Source organism: Homo sapiens, chromosome 6 (assembly GCF_000001405.40).
Source record: "Homo sapiens chromosome 6, GRCh38.p14 Primary Assembly".
Lineage (NCBI taxonomy): Eukaryota > Metazoa > Chordata > Mammalia > Primates > Hominidae > Homo > Homo sapiens.
In genome coordinates, this window is record NC_000006.12 from 20,137,068 (window position 1) to 20,153,006 (window position 15,939).

General features: G+C 42.8%; 1 protein-coding gene across 5 annotated transcripts in view; it reads right to left on the minus strand.

Annotated features, from left to right (window-relative positions):
- MBOAT1 (membrane bound glycerophospholipid O-acyltransferase 1) overlaps positions 1–15,939 on the minus strand; it is a 112,786-nt gene that overhangs the window by 37,384 nt on the left and 59,463 nt on the right. For 4 of the 5 annotated variants that reach the window (NM_001080480.3, XM_006714999.3, XM_011514313.4 and 1 more), the window contains exons 2-4: positions 15,557–15,702; positions 14,118–14,195; positions 7,153–7,248 (exon numbers count right to left, since the gene is read on the minus strand). In NM_001080480.3, the coding sequence (NP_001073949.1) occupies positions 7,153–7,248; positions 14,118–14,195; positions 15,557–15,702 (320 nt within the window). The remainder of the gene's footprint in view (positions 1–7,152; positions 7,249–14,117; positions 14,196–15,556; positions 15,703–15,939) is intronic. The other variant, NR_073465.2, reaches the window with a different exon arrangement.

Sequence of the window (15,939 nt, forward strand, 5' to 3'; positions counted from 1 at the left end):
TGAATAAATTTTGATTTCCTTATGGTAATTTAACTCCTAGGAATTTATCCTATCATAGGATATGAACTTTAAAAAAAAAATCTTGTTTGAAATTGATGGTGAAACTGCCTTCCAGAAGAGTTATGCCAGTTTACACTCCCACTAGCAGTACATAAGAGTTCTCATTTCACAGTGTTTACAACAACATGTGGGCAAATCAACCTGCAATCGTGATGGGAGAGCAATTATCTGCCTGAATCTGGCCTACCATGGCAAAAGGAAATAAGAGTTCTTGCTGGGGCCCTCCAAAGAAAACTCGATTTGCACCCTTCTGTGAGCAAAAAGGAAGAATCAGTTTGCTCTCACAAACCTAAAAGGAACTAAGTACCAGCTGTATTACAAGCAATCATTGAGCTTCCCCCAGGAGAACAGGAAATATTCTAGTGCTTTTAACAGCCCACATTCACCACAGAGAAAACATAAAGGACATTCACCACCGCATGTATTGATATGAATTGTATTAGCAGCACCAATAAAAGTGTATCTTGTTTGTTTCCCTTACCATTAATTCCAGTCCAGTCCATGAAAACTTGATTACTCTTGGAATGAAAAATACAATTTCAAGTCCCAGAATAATCTAAAATACAAGTTTATGTGTTCCCCAAAATTAAACACACACACACACACACACACACACGTTGTTTAACACAAACACTAACCTCATCCCATCCCATCCAATTCCTGTCTGTGCTCTTATTCTGAAGGCATAATAAAGTATGCTAAACATTTAGGTTTGCATGCATGCTCAAAAGAGAATGGCTATACATCAGGCTGCTTTAAAACACCAGGTTCAACTTCAAAATACTACTTTATCTCTTGACAAAATCCGAAACAAGATATTTCAACTGCAATAGTAGGGTTAAATCAATTCCATTCTGATGAACTTGTGGTTTGCTCGCATGCCTGTAATGAGAATAAACACTGGTAAAATACCTCTCTAACTGGCAATTTGTGATTTAAAACATTTTGTCAATTTCAGGTTGGTATGTACTCTCCATGGATGTTAACTGACATTACCCAGGAAGAGGGATTTATGGTAGTGAGGCAGCCTGCCTTTACGGTGGTAGGGAAAAATAACACTGCTTAATAATGACAAAAAGAAAAAAAGACAACATACCCTTCGAGAACTAGATAGTAGGGCCACTCAGTAATCACAGAACTGAATCACATGCAATTTTCAGGCGGATTTTTTTTCTGTATTATTTCCCTAACAACAATGTCCTTTCTAGTTTAAATATTCTGTAGTTTTGTGGGTAACATCAGAGATTTCTTACTACGAGGAGATCCAAAAAATGCCAGAAAATAAACATCTCTTGAGGACATTTATCAAGACTATGTGGCTGAAAGTGAGGTTGACAGGAACTGATTTCCATGCTCCTCTTGTGTCAAACCCCCAAATCCACGATGTTCAGAAGCACGTGACTGTTTTCCACAAATGCCCTTTATTTTTTCCCTTTGATAATTTCAGAATTCTGATTACATTCAAAATGATGTAGAAATTATTCAAGAGTTTATGGTTTTAATAAAACAAATGGAGATGTGACAAGAACAGCCAGAGATGCAGACGGTAGAGGCATCCTTATCCTGTATGATCAGGATCAGGGGACGGTTGTTAATTCATCAAAAGGTGGGGAATCATAAAACAACGCACATGAGCTTCCTAGGGCTGCTGTGAGAAATTACAAGCTGGGTGGCTTACAACAACAAAAATGTCTTCTCTCACAGTTCTTGAGGTTAAAAGTCCAAAATCAAGATATCTGCAGGACTGGTTCCTTCTGCAGGCGCTGAGAGAGAATCTGTTCCATTCTCCTTCCTTGCTTCCGGTGACTGACGGCAACCCTTGAGCTCCCGGGCTTGCGTCTGCATTACTCCAATGTCGGCCTCCATCTTGACATGGCCGTCTTCCCTGTATGCATGTGTGTGAGTCTGTCCCTCATGGCTTTCTTACCAGGACACAGTCGTACTGGATCTAGGGCCCACTCTAATCCAGTGTGACCTGATCTGTTTGTTTGGGTTTTTATTTTGTTTGTTTGTTTTGAGACCAAGTCTCACCCTGTCGCCCAGGCTGGAATGCAGTGGTGTGGTCTCCGCTCCCTACAACCTCCACCTCCTGGGTTCAGGCGATTCCCCTGCTTCAGCCTCCCATGTAGCTGTGGGACTACAGGCATGCGCCACCACGCCCTGCTAATTTTTGTATTTTTTGTAGAGACGGGGTTTCACCATGTTGGACAGGCTGGTTTCCATCTCCAAGTCTCCCAAAGTGCTGAGATTACAACTGTGAGCAACGGTGCCCCGCCCAATGTGACCTCATCTTATCTTAACTAATTGCATCTGCAAAGACTATTTCCAAATAAGGACATATTCTGAGGTGCTGGGTGGACATGAATCTTGGGAGGACACTCTTCAACCCAGTACACAAAAATACACTCACATTTTAACCTTTTTTTTTTTTTTTTTTTTTTTTTTGAGACAGGGTCTTGCTCTGTTGCCCAGGTGGAGTACAGTGGCATTATCACAGCTCACTGCAGCCTTGACCTCCTGGGCTCAAGCGATCCTTCCACCTCAGCCTCCTGAATAGCTGGGACTACAGGTACACACCACCACACCCAGCTGAGTTTTAAATTTTTTTGTAAAGATGGGGTCTCACTATGTTGCCCAGGCTGGTCTCAAACTCCTGGACTCAAATGATCCTCCCACCTCAGCCTCCCAAAGTGCTGAGATTACAAGCATGAGTCACCGTGCCCAGCCTTAACTTTCTATACAAACTTAAAATATGTAACTAGACATTCATTCTGCAGTCTTTGCTCGCTTCTGTCTCCTATCACTGTGCCTGGTATACACAGGGTTCCCCAGTCACTGCCTCCTGAATAATGAACTAATGAGCCTTTGACACAGGACCAAAGCCTTTCCTTGGAGTGCAGATCTGCTGAAGGATGGCATCTCCTCTCACATAAGCCCCAGCCACTATCCCCAGGGTCATTCCCTCTAGCACAGGCTGAGAAGGTAAAAGAAAGTAAAGATGCTTGCAAAGCCATCTGAGTGAAGAATCCTTCATGTTTATACTTCCTTCCCCCAACCCCCAATCCTTTCAGCATTCTCACTCACATTTAATTCAATGGCAATTATTTTTAATAGACTAAACTTAACTTGGTGGCTTTCCAAGGGACCCAACCTAGATTTAGAGAAACTATTATCTCTCCTTTCACATTCACATATAATCAGCTTACATGTAAGTTGTGATGGTCAATTTTGTGTGTCAACTTGACTGGGCTCAGGGATGCTCAGATAGCTGGTAGAACATTATTTCTTGGTGTACCTATGAGGGTTTCCAAAAGAGATTAGCATTTGAATCCATGGACTGAATAAGGAAGATCCACCCTCGTCAGTGTGGAAGACGATCATCCAATCCTTAGAGGGCAAGAACAGAAAGGCGAAAGGAAGGACTCATTCTCTTTCTCCTTGAGCTGAGACATCATCTTCTCCTGCCCTTAGGTATCGGAGCTCCTGGTTCTCAGGCCTTTGGACTCTGGGACTTACACCCCTAGTTCTCAGGCCTTCAGCCTCAGACTGAATCATACCACCAGCTTTTCTGGATCTCTAGCTCACAGATGGCAGATGGTGGGACTTCTTGGCCTCCATAATCACATAAGCCAATTCCCATAATAAATCCTCTCACATAAAAATCCTATTGGTTCTGAGTCGCTAGAGAATCCTGATACTGATACATACATACAACTGCAATAAACAAGTTTGGGAATAAACACATATAACACTAGCTAAACGTATGACACAATGGATGAGGGAGGTATCTGTGGCCGCCAGCTACAAACACTCTGTGCACCAGGGACAAGATATGACTGACAGGCAATGGTAGCACCAACCCTTGAGAGCCAGGCAAGAGACCTCCTGCTACCTGAGATCCAAATGCATGACTCTGGGGTACAGGGAGTGGGGGGAGGGAGGGGATGGCAACCAGGGAAGCTTTTTAAGGAAAGTGATCTTTGAGCTGAGTTTTTACAAATGAAGTAAGAGATTTCCAGGTTGACAAAGATAGGAAAGGGCTTTCTATCAGGGAAATGAGCAAAGCACAGGCACAGAGGCAGGAACTAACCCAGCATGTGTGCAGACCACAAACTTTTCTGCATTGTACAGTGGGAGCAGATGGCAGAAGATAAAGGCTTGGCAGGTCCAGATCATCATCAGCTTTGTATTTTAGAACCTCATTCTCATTTTTTCTTTTCTTTTTCTTTTTCTTTTTTTTTTTTTTTTTTTTGACACAGGGTCTTGCTCTGTCACCCAGGCTAGTGTGCAGTGGCATAATCATAGCTCATTGCAGCCCCAGTCTCAGGCTCAAGAGATTCTCCTACCTTTACTTCCTGAGTAGCTGGGACTACAAGCACGCACCATCACACCCAGCTAATTTGTTTTTTGTTTTGTTTTTAATTTTTAGTAGAGATGGGGTCTCATTATGTTGTCCAGGCTGGTCTCAAACTCCTGAGCTCAAGCGATCCTCTTCCTCCTCCTGCCAGCTCGGCATTTCAAAGTGCTGAGATGATAAGTGTGAGCCATTGTGCCTGGCCTAGAACCTCATTCTGATGAGTGTAGAGAGCACAGACTGGAGACGGGGCAGGGCAAAAGGAAGGACAGCCAGTCAGGAAGGCGTTGCAGGCTTGGGGTGGTCCAGGGTGGTGGCGGTGGGCATGAAGGGCAGCGGGCGGATTCTAGTGACAGACAGGCTGTCGTAATGAGAGGACCTGGTGACACAAGGATGCGGGTAATAAAGGAAATAAAGGCTCTCTGGTACCTCCACAGGCACCTGTCTTGCATTTCTGTGCTCTTGCAAAGCCCTCCCTTCTGCCTGGAATATCCTTCCTCCTGCCTAGAATGCACAGTGTCTCTCGAACCTGGCATTTACCTAACATATTGGCCACACAAAAGTTGTTGCAGAAATGAATAGATGCTTCCTGCCTTAAAAACAGAAGAAGATATATACAGGCAATAGGTATTAATGTCATTTCAGCCAGTCAGCGATTTTTGTTTAATATCCCAACCAATACAGATGGAGGGACTGTTTAATAATGAGTCTCCTGGATACCTTAAAGAAAAGAATAGTAAATACTAGAGTATTTAATGCATTCATTTCTTGACCACCTATTAAGTGTCAAGAACTCTTCTAAGTATAGCAGGGCTCTGGGGTGAAACCAAAACAGTGGTTTGTTGATTGAATGCTATGGGGAGTTGCAATCCCCATTTAGAGATTCCTTTTAATACTATACCTGCCTGGCTATTTTGTTATCATTGTTGTTCCTATGTTTTCCATATTTTACTAGCAATGCATGTTGGGCTTTTTGTTTTTTGTTTTTGAGACGGTCTCGCTCTGCCACCCAGGCTGGAGTGCAGTGGCGCGATCTCAGCTCACTACAACCTCCGCCTCCCAGGGTAAAGTGATTCTCATGCCTCAGCCTCCTGAGCAGCTGAGATTACAGGTGCCTGCCATGACACCCAGCTAATTTTTATATTTTTAGTAGAGATAGCGTTTCACCATGTTGGTCAGGCTGGTCTCAAACTCCTGACCTCAAGTGATCCACCCACCTCAGCCTCCCAAAGTGCTGGAATTATAGGCATGAGCCACTACGCCCATCCTGCATATTGTTAAAAAACAAAGTCTTTGAATTTCTTCCTGAAGGATTGAGAAAGCACGCTCCACAATGTGGCGGAGAGGGCACACCACTGGAAGAAAAACAGGTAAAATCCCAGATGCCTGAGGGTAAGAAGAACTTATGCATGAAAAACCAGTCTGAGACCAAACCACAGTCACAAAGATTTAAATGCAACAATCCCTGTGTCCCAAAACAACACTCTTTACCTTCCTGAGCCCTTTCAAGGTGGGACAGTTGAGTTGCACAACTTGCAAAGTTCATGAGCCATGAGCGGTCACTCCCTCATTTCACTGCCTAGTTGCCAACAACTCACTGAAGGAGGTACAGTCCAACCTGACTGGGGAGCTTGGGTCCCTGACCTCAGGCTGCCTGCAGAGAACACAACTAAACTCCCGGGAAGTAACGTGGATAACAGATCACGCATCACCAGGAACAGCTCTGCTGTAATGTTCATTCCTCAAGATTCACAAAAAGTTGTTCCTGAACTAACCTCAACAGGGCATAGAATTCTCAGTTTTCCATCCATAGTCTTTACCATGTGACCAATCAGAATGCGTGGCCCACCACATTAAGGCCATGGTAATAGACAAAATGTTTAGAAATTATCCTTCTAGTTGCTGAAGGTCAAGGAGGCCTGGGGGCCGGGGCAAGGGCAGTCAGGAACACTCAAAGGGGTCAGGGTAGTAGGTACTTATCAGCTAGTATCAAAGAATTTCTATATTATTAACTAGCGAGAGATGAAAACCCTAACACAGGGATAGAAAAGCAAATACTGCATGTTCTCACTTCTAAATGATGAGACTACGTGGAAAGAACCACAGACCTGGAGCCTCTCAGAAGGTGGAGGATTGGAGGAGGGAGAGGATCAGGAAGAATAACCAATGGGTACTAGGCTTAATACCTGGGTGACGAAATAATCTGTACAACAAACTCCCATGACACAGGTTTGCCTATGTAACAAACCTGCACATGTACCCCTAAATTTTTTTAAAAAGTTTAAAAAAAGAGAGATGAAAACCAACCCTGAGTTAAGAACCTCAGAACAGGGGTTGACAAAGTTTTTCTGTAAAGAACCAAATAGTAAATATTCCAGGCTTTGCAGGCCACGTGGCTTTTCACAACTACTCAACTCTGCCACTGTAGTGCAAAAGCACTCATAGACAATACATAAATGGCTAAGTGCCTGGTTGCGTTCCAATATAACTGTACAAAGACAGGTAGCAGGACAGATATGGCGCACAGGCTGTACTTTGTGGTTCCTGTCTTACAGCATAGCAGAGCTAACAGTCCTACCAATCAATCAAGTCTCCAGCCTCAATCCCATTAGCAGTGTCTTACCAACTGATTTAACCAAGCACCAACGATTCTTTTGTGCACCCTTGATGTTTACAGACCCCAAGAGACCAAGTCAAAGTCAGCAGTAAAACCCCTCTCTCTAATGTAAGATACTTACCCAGAAAAATCCGTAGTGAGAATTCCATAGTGGAAGATGTATATTCGGCTGATGTGGCATATTGTAAGATATCCCATTGCTACAAAAAAGGAATATCTGAAAGCAAAAACATAGATGATCAGATTATTATGCATAGCAATAATGCACTCAATTAATGTTCCCCTCTTCCTCTCTTTCATCCTTCACGTGCAGTTGGTCACAATGTCCTATCTGGTCTGACGACATCCCAGGCCACCTTTCCACCCACTACTCTAGCTGAACCCCTCATCTCTTCTCACCTGGACCACTACATTGGCTGTCAGCCTTAGCTGCATAATGGAATGGAGCTTTGCAAACCACAGATCCCTGGGACTTGCTCCCTGCTATTCCTGTTTAATTCCTGCCACACCTGGTAGGTGTAATGGCAGTGCGCAGCCAGGGCTGGGAATCACTACCTGTAAGGTCTTGCACTCAAGATTCTCCTCTTCACAGCCCTCATGTTTGCATAATGATTTTTGTAAAGTACAAATCATCACCATACTGCTGACCACTTCATCTTTAAACACTTTATTCTCTTGGCTTCCATTCTCCTGTTTTCTTCCCACCTCTCTGGTTAATTCCTCCAAGGCTCCTTGCTCAGCTTTCCTTCCTCCACCTACCCCTCAAGTGTTAGTATGTCCAAGCTCAGCTTGGGACCCTGCCCTTCCATGCCTCAGGTTTCAATTACCACTTACTCATGAGCATTCCCTGGCTTCCTTCAGAGATGTGTTCCTGACTGCCTTATAGTATACACTAGCAATACACACACAAGCCACACAAACACACACATCCACATATAAGTACTTGTCAAATGTGTAATTATAAATATAGGTGATAAGCTGTGCAATGAATGATTATGTCTCCCTAAAATTCCTATGTTTAAATGCTAACCCTCAACATTAGGAGGTGGGACCTTTGGGAGGTGACTAGGTTATGAGAGCAGAGCCTTCATAAATGGGATTAGCCCTCTTACAAAAGAGACCCCAGAGAGCACTCACTTTGTGCTATGTGAGGATACAAGAAGACGGCAGTCTGTAACCCAGAAGAGAGTCCTCACCAGAACATGCTGGAACCCTGATTTCAGATCTCCAGCCTCCAGAACTGAGGAATATTAATACATTTCTGTTGTTTATAAGCCACCCACTCTACATACAGTACTTTGTTATAGCAGTCCCAGCTAAGACAATCTGATTAACACCCATCTCCCTGACCAAACTGTAAGCTCCATGAGGGCAAAGATGGTCACCTATGCTTTGTTCACCATATTCACCTACTGTGTGTCAAATGAATAAACAACTATGTGACAGCTACTCTTCTTAAAAGTCTCCAGTGGATCCCACTATCTAGTGAAATTGCAACCCCTGAACACAGCATGCAAGGTGCTTCACACGCTAAGCTCTACCTCGCCTTCCTGGACTCATCTCCAGCCATGCTCCATGTTTACCTTACTCTCAAATGACACTGCACTGCTCATGTTCCACAATGAAACCCTGTATTTTCAGGCAAGATGTCTTTCTGCATGCTCCTTCTTCTGACTGCAATTCCCATCTCCATCCAATAGTCTATCTGGAACCTGCCTAATTTTCAGATAAGGCTCAGCTCCAAAGTCACCTCTTCTATGTTACTTGGCTTGGTCTTACTCCATGCATCCTACCACATCTCCTGTTCCCCATCCCCAGCACAATTCATTGCTCCACTGTCTGTATGTCTCTGGTATTACATGCTAACACACATAATTACAATATTAGAATTATTTGTGTATGTGTCTGTTTCCCCAACTCATTGTGACCTTGAACGTCCCCACCCTTGACCTGACACATGGGAGGGGTTCAGTTACTGTTAGTTGAAATGAACTGAAATGAATACATTACACATTTTAAGTGGTTCCGGAGCCCATCGGATATAGACATAAATTCGGAAGGTATAACTTTTAAATATATGCCATAAAACAGGGAAGAGGTATTTTCTGATGTTAAATTATATTGAAATCACATATTCACATTAAAATAACTCATGAAGACTAGATCAGCCTAAGGAATAGTAAAGTAGGGATAATAAAAATTCATTCGGTAGCAAGGGATAGCCAGATTTTAAATAACATGAAGGAGTTCTGTAAACTCTAAATCACTGTGTAACTTTTATGTGCTCTTTACCATTATTTGCAAACAAAGAAGTTACTATGCAGAAAAGATTTTTTCTCTATCATGGGTTCATCCTAAACCACTTCCAAACCAAGAAGATGGTCAACAATGCAAATGACTAAGAGAAAATAACTCCCTTAGGAGTTGAAGCAGAAGTGGAATGAAGTTAGGCCTTGTCATCTCCAGCAACTGTTCCCTTTCTCCAGCCAGTTCATGAAGCTCAAGGCAGAAACGCAAAGCAGACTCAAAAGATAGATTCTTCCAGAACCCATTCCAATGCAGCCATGCCTGCTGCTTCCCCTTTGTCCTCAACAGGAGTTAGATCTGTACCTTACCCTGGCCCACAGAAGAAAGAAAGCAAGTTCAACTCAATTTAGTAGGACCCCGCCTGCCCAGGATGGCACCAAGTGCTGAGTCCCAATACAACAGGGCAACGCATTCATGCCCTGGCCAAACCTAAAACATCTAAGGAATCAAGAAGTGGTAGTGAGAACATGTATTCTACAGACTGACTGATACGGTTTGGCTGTGTCCCCACCGAAATCTCATCTTAAATTGTAGCTCCCAAATTCCCACGTGTTGTGGGAGGGACCCAGTGGGAGGTAATTGAATCATGGGGGCGAGTCTTTCCTATGCTGTTCTCGTGATAGTGAGTAAGTCCCACAAGATCTGATGGTTTTGTAAAGGGGATTTCCCCTACACAAGTTCTCTCTTGCCTGCTGCCATGTAAGACATGCCTTTTGCCTTCCACCATGATTGTGAGGCCTCTCCAGCCACGTGGAACTGTGAGTCCACTAAACTTCTTTTTGTATATAAATTACCCAGTCTCAGGTATGTCTTTATCAGCAGTGTGAAAACAGACAAATACACAGACCAGAATGAGCTCAAATCCCAGCACTGGCAGAAGTAATCCATGGTGGGAGAAGTTGGTGAAGCAGTTATTCTAGGAAGGAGAGGTGTGGTAGAGATTGGCACATGAGGCTGGGTGTGATGGCTCACGCCTGTTATCCCAGCACTTTGGGAGGCCAAGGCGGGCGGATCACCTGAGGTCAGGGGTTCGAGACCAGCCTGACCAATATGGAGAAACCCTGTCTCTACTAAAAATACAAAATTAGCCAGGGGTGGTGGTGCATGCCTATAATCCCAGCCTCTTGGGAGGCTTAGGCAGGAGAATCACTTGAATCCAGGAGGCAGAGGTTGCAGTGAGCCAAGATTGCGCCATCGCACTCCAGACTGGGCAACGAGAGCAAACTCCGTCTCAAAAAAAAAAAAAAAGAGACTGACACATCAGACATGGTGGTTACATGGGTGTGTTCACTTTGTGGAAATTCATCAAACTGTTTACTTATTTACCTCTCTGAGCTTTTATTGTCTCATTTCAGAAAGAAAAAAAACTATATTCCATAGTGTTGTCCTAGAGTTAATATATTTGAAATAATGAAACATTAAATAAAAAATTAAATGATATATTACATAATAGTTTATGTGTTAACAATGAAATAAAGTATATTAAAAAGAGCTTGGCTTAAGACTTGGCACAAAGGACAGACTCCAGCATTGATAACTGCATCACCAAGTTCTCACGCTAGGCCCTCTGCCCCAGGAGACACAAGCCATGTTCTGCTCCAGTTGGTTCACGTAGGGTAAACTGATGCCTGTGACTTCTGCCCAACACAGTGGCTTGGGAAGGAAACACAGGGGGTATCCCCAAAACCCTCTAAACAAATGCTGAATAACAGTCCAGAAATGGGTTAGTTTTGGCCAGGCATGATGGCTCATGCTTATAATCCCAGCATTTTGGGAAGCCGAGGCAGGCAAATCACGTAAGGTCAGTTCAAGACCATCCTGGCCAACATGGTGAAACCCTGTCTCTACTAAAATTATAAAAATTAGCTGAGTGTGGTGGTAGGTGCCTGTAATCTCAGCTACTTGGGAGGCTGAGGCAGGAGAATCACTTGAACTGGGGAGGAAGAGGTTGCAGACAAGCCAAGACCACGCTATCGCACTATAGCCTGGGCAACAGAGTGAGGTTCCATCTCAAAAAACAAAGGGTTAGTTTCATATGGCAGCAAATAGTAATCTTTCCCTCCTCTTCTCAGCCATGTAGCAGAACTCTTATCACTGATTCAGTGAAGTAAAGAGGAGAGCAATTCATACAGAATCATGACATCATGGTAATGAAGGGAACTTGCGTTCAAACTGCTGCAAAACCAGCATTTTGCAGGAGGGAAATGTGACATATGGAGAAGTTGCATGACCAGTCCAAATTCACACTACTAGGAGGATCTTGATTTCCTGACTCCAGCCTAGAGCTCTTTCCATAAACAGGAAACAACGTTGAGATTTTAAAAAAATTTACATTGAGTTCATCCAAGGGGAACTGTGAAACAATTTCCACTTCGGCAATATTGGCAGCCACAAGAGCAAACCAAGAGGGGCATCAGCCAGGCACGGTGGCTCACACCTGTAATCCCAGCACTTTGGAAGGCTGAGGCAGGCAGATCACTAGGTCAAGAGATTGAGACCATCCTGGCCAACATAGTGAAACCCCGTCTCGACTAAAAATACAAAAATTAGCCAGGTGTAGTGGCACGCGCCTGTAGTCCCAGCTACTCGGAAGGCTGAGGCAGGAAAATCACTTGAACCCGGGAGGTGGAGGTTGCAGTAAGCCGAGATCACATCACTGCACTCCAGCCTGGGCAACAGAGTGAGACTCTGTCTCAAAAAAAAAAAAAAAAAAACCAAACAAAAAAAGGAACATCTTGTGCTGGCCTCTTTCCTTCTTGGTCTGATGGCAGAGCCCCCTGCTACCACAGTAATACTGTGGTGGCACCGTCATACCCTGTCTGTAAACCACATGGCTCTGCCAAGGCCAGAGTATTCCATTCCTAGACACTGGAATTGAACACAGTGAACCTAGGCCTGATATGAAACAAGTGTGCGTGTCAAGTTCCTGACCCTCTGAAAAATGGACCACATCCCATCAGCATCACACAAATGTGGGAAGAGCTGACAAGCTGCAATTTGTAAGGAAGTTGGGAATGTGCTATACAGTTGCACCAACATTATTATTAATAATTTACTATGTAATTGCTTCCAAAACCAAGTTTTGGAAAAGCCAAGCCTTTTCATCCTCTAGTTAAAAAATAAAAGCTTTTATAATCATTTTGTCATCATATGAAACATTTCCAAAACCCATTCTTTCCAAATTAGAAAAATGGATTTCCTATTTCCTTTCTAGAAGAAGTGACACTATCCCCTTCAAGCAGGGCACTGAGAAGAGAGATGATTAGAATTCGAATTTTCAGAGCTCCTTTGGATTCTATGTTGAATGACTATAAAATGTAAAAGCAGAAAAAAATATTTTCCCTGGGAAACCAAAAATTTGTTATAAGTAACTAAAAGATCATACAGTGAAAAGTTAAATTTCAATGTTTTTAAGGAGGAAAACTACTGTGCTAATAGTGATTAATCAAATGGCTTTCTGAAGCTGAAATAAGGCACCTGCTTTTCAGAGAGGCCGTCAGAAGCCATAAAAGGACAAATATCTTTTAAAAGTAATTCAGTCATTCATTCCATAAATATTTATTGAGCTCTTACTTGTGCCAGGTATTGTTCCCGGCTTGGAGGATACAACAGTGAAAGAGAGAGAGAGAAATCTTTGTTTTCATAGAACTTACATTGCAGCATTCCCAAAAGGCAGAGCTAATCCTGAGTTTTCAGAAAGACCATGTGAAACAGAGACCATGCAAAACAGATACCCAGGTATCTCAGTTGATTATCCAAGCATGCTGCCTCCAAGGTAGACTTAAACTACCTCTGTACTTTGAAATCAAAACATCATCGTAAAAATATTTCTTTTTTAACAGTTTTAGTGTACACGTAGAAAGTATACAATTTAACATATATATATATTTGATATATATAGATACCCAGAAAACGATCACCAGATTCAAGAGGGTGGAGACATCCATCACCCCCTAGAACTTTCCTCATCCCTCTTTGTGATTCCTTCCACAGCTCCCTGCACCATCCCAGTTAACTTGTGAGCTTTTGTCACTATAGATTAGTTTGCATTTTCTAGAATAGAATTTGTGTGGCTTCCTTCATTCAGCATATTTGTTTTGAGATTTATCCACGACATTGAGTATACCGATCTTTCATTATTTTCTTTTTCTTTTTCCTTTTTTTTTTTTTTTTTGACAGAGGAGTTTCCCTCTGTCACCCAGGCTGGAGTGTTGTAGCACAATCTTGGCCCACTGCAACCTCTGCCTCCTGGGTTCAAGTGATTCTCCTGCCTCAGCGTCCCTGAGTAGCTGGGACTATAGGTGCGCACCACTACGCCCAGCTAATTTTTTTTGGGTTTTTTTTTTTTGTATTTTTAGTAGAGACGAGGTTTCACCATGCTGCCCAGGCTGGTCTTGAACTCTTGACCTCAGGCAATCTGCCCACCTCTGCCTCCCAAAGTGCTGGGATTACAGGTGTGAGCCACCACGCCCAGCCTTTTCATTATTTTCATTGTGTTGAACATTTGAGTTGCTTCCAGTTTCGGGCTGTCACAAATAGAGCAGCCTAGTCATGACATATTCTCTTTCACCTGAGGCCCAATTTGCATTGATCTTTTTCATAAAGCCTTCTCTGAAGACTCCAGCCTTTAGGGTTCCCCATCCCTCCTGATATTCTAGATAAACTAAGATATACCACTTGTGGAAAATGGGTAAGGTCCATCTTTACACTGGAAATATATTTCAAAGATCACAAAAAAAAGAAAATCTCACCTTGCATTGTTCATTCCCAGTATCTTACCTGTGAATATTGGATACACTAGCAGTGACCATGATTGCATAGCACATTAACACCAGCACAAAAAGATGCACAGAGTACCTTTAAGACATAATAGTAGGGGGAGGAGTAATGAATATATTTCATATTAACACAGCTATTGGTCACCAAAACTGTGAATCCATCACTACCCCTGCCAAAAACACAAATGATCAATGATCAGTAACTCATGTTTATGTGAGAGAAAATAAGCCAAATATTTTTCTTCTATGTAATTAAGATGCTGTATCATAACGACACAGTTTGCCAACTGCAGGGCTAATAATGTCAGGAATCCATAAATGGAACGCTTACACTTTTTTCCCATATGCAATTGAGAGTCCAGAGAGATGAGTTCTTTCTTTAAGACTTTATTTTTTAAACTGGGCTTCCCAAGATACCGAGACTTCTACCTGGTGGCTGATTTAAAATACTCATCCTTTCTCAGATACTTGTTGAAGGAATAGGGGCAGAATTCTAGTATAGTACCCTGAACAAATTCACAAAATTCCTGAAGGTGTACTTCTCAATATGTTGGTTTCCAAAGCTTCTTCCCTAACACCTTTCAGGGTATTTGCCCAGCTTACTCGTAGAGGAAAGTACAATTGACCAGCTTTCTCTGTTAAAGAATGATTCACATTTCCCAAGATCTGCACTAAACGCATTGTTCTACTCTGGTGAAATCCAGGACTTATACCCACGTCTCTAGCAGTAATACAAGAAATACACCAACATCTACGATAGTTAGGAAAGGTTCCTTTTGGGAAAAATTAAACCTTACAGCATCCCATTTACATGATTGGGAGGGATCTGTAGAAGTCTAATTTTAAGAAAAAATGGGCTGGGGATGGTGGCTCATGCCTGTAATCCTAACACTTTGGGAGGCCAAGGCGGATGGATCGCCTGAGCTCAGGCGTTTGCAACCAGCCTGGGCAACACGGTGAAACCCCGTCTCTACTAAAAAAAATACAAAAAAAATTACCTGGGCATGGTGATGTGCACCTGTAATCCCAGCGACTCAAGAGGCTGAGGCAGGAGAATCACTTGAACCCAGGAGGCGGAGGTCGCAGTGAGCCAAGATCGCGCCACTGCACTACAGCCTGGGCGACAGAGCGAGACTCCGTCTCAAAAAAAAAAAATAAAAAATAAATAAATAAATAAATAAATTAATTAATTAATTAATTAATTAAAAAAAAGAAAAAGTGAACTATACTGACTTCCAATGGATGGTCAATTTATTGGCTCTTACAGTAAATGGAGAGTCCTGCAATGTCCTCATTATCCTACTATAAGGTATTTACAATATAAAATTTTACAATACATATTTTATAATGCCATCTATTTCTGGCTTTAGTGCAATTCCAAGGACATTGCCACAAAACATCCAAATGACCAATATTAGAATATATGAGGCTCATACTCACCAGCCGAAACAAAAGATGACAAAATAGATGCCAAAAATGGTGGCAACCGCATGCCGGACATCAGAGCTGGTTGTACCAGGACGTAAGTAGATGCGAAACCAGAAAGCAGCAAACAGAGCAACAAGCTGGCATACCACAAAATTCACCTGTGGCAGGGGAAGAGAAAATAAAAACCTTTGTGTGAATTTCGTCTTGGTTTTTTTGTTTGTTTTGTTTTGTTTTGTTTTGAGACGGAGTCTCGTTCTGTCGCCCAGGCTGGAGTGCAGTGGCGCAAACTCGGCTCACTGCAAGCTCCGCCTCCCAGGTTCACGTCATTCTCCTGCCTCAGCCTCCGAAGTAGCTGGGACTACAGGCGCCCGCCACCACGCCCGGCTAATTTTTTT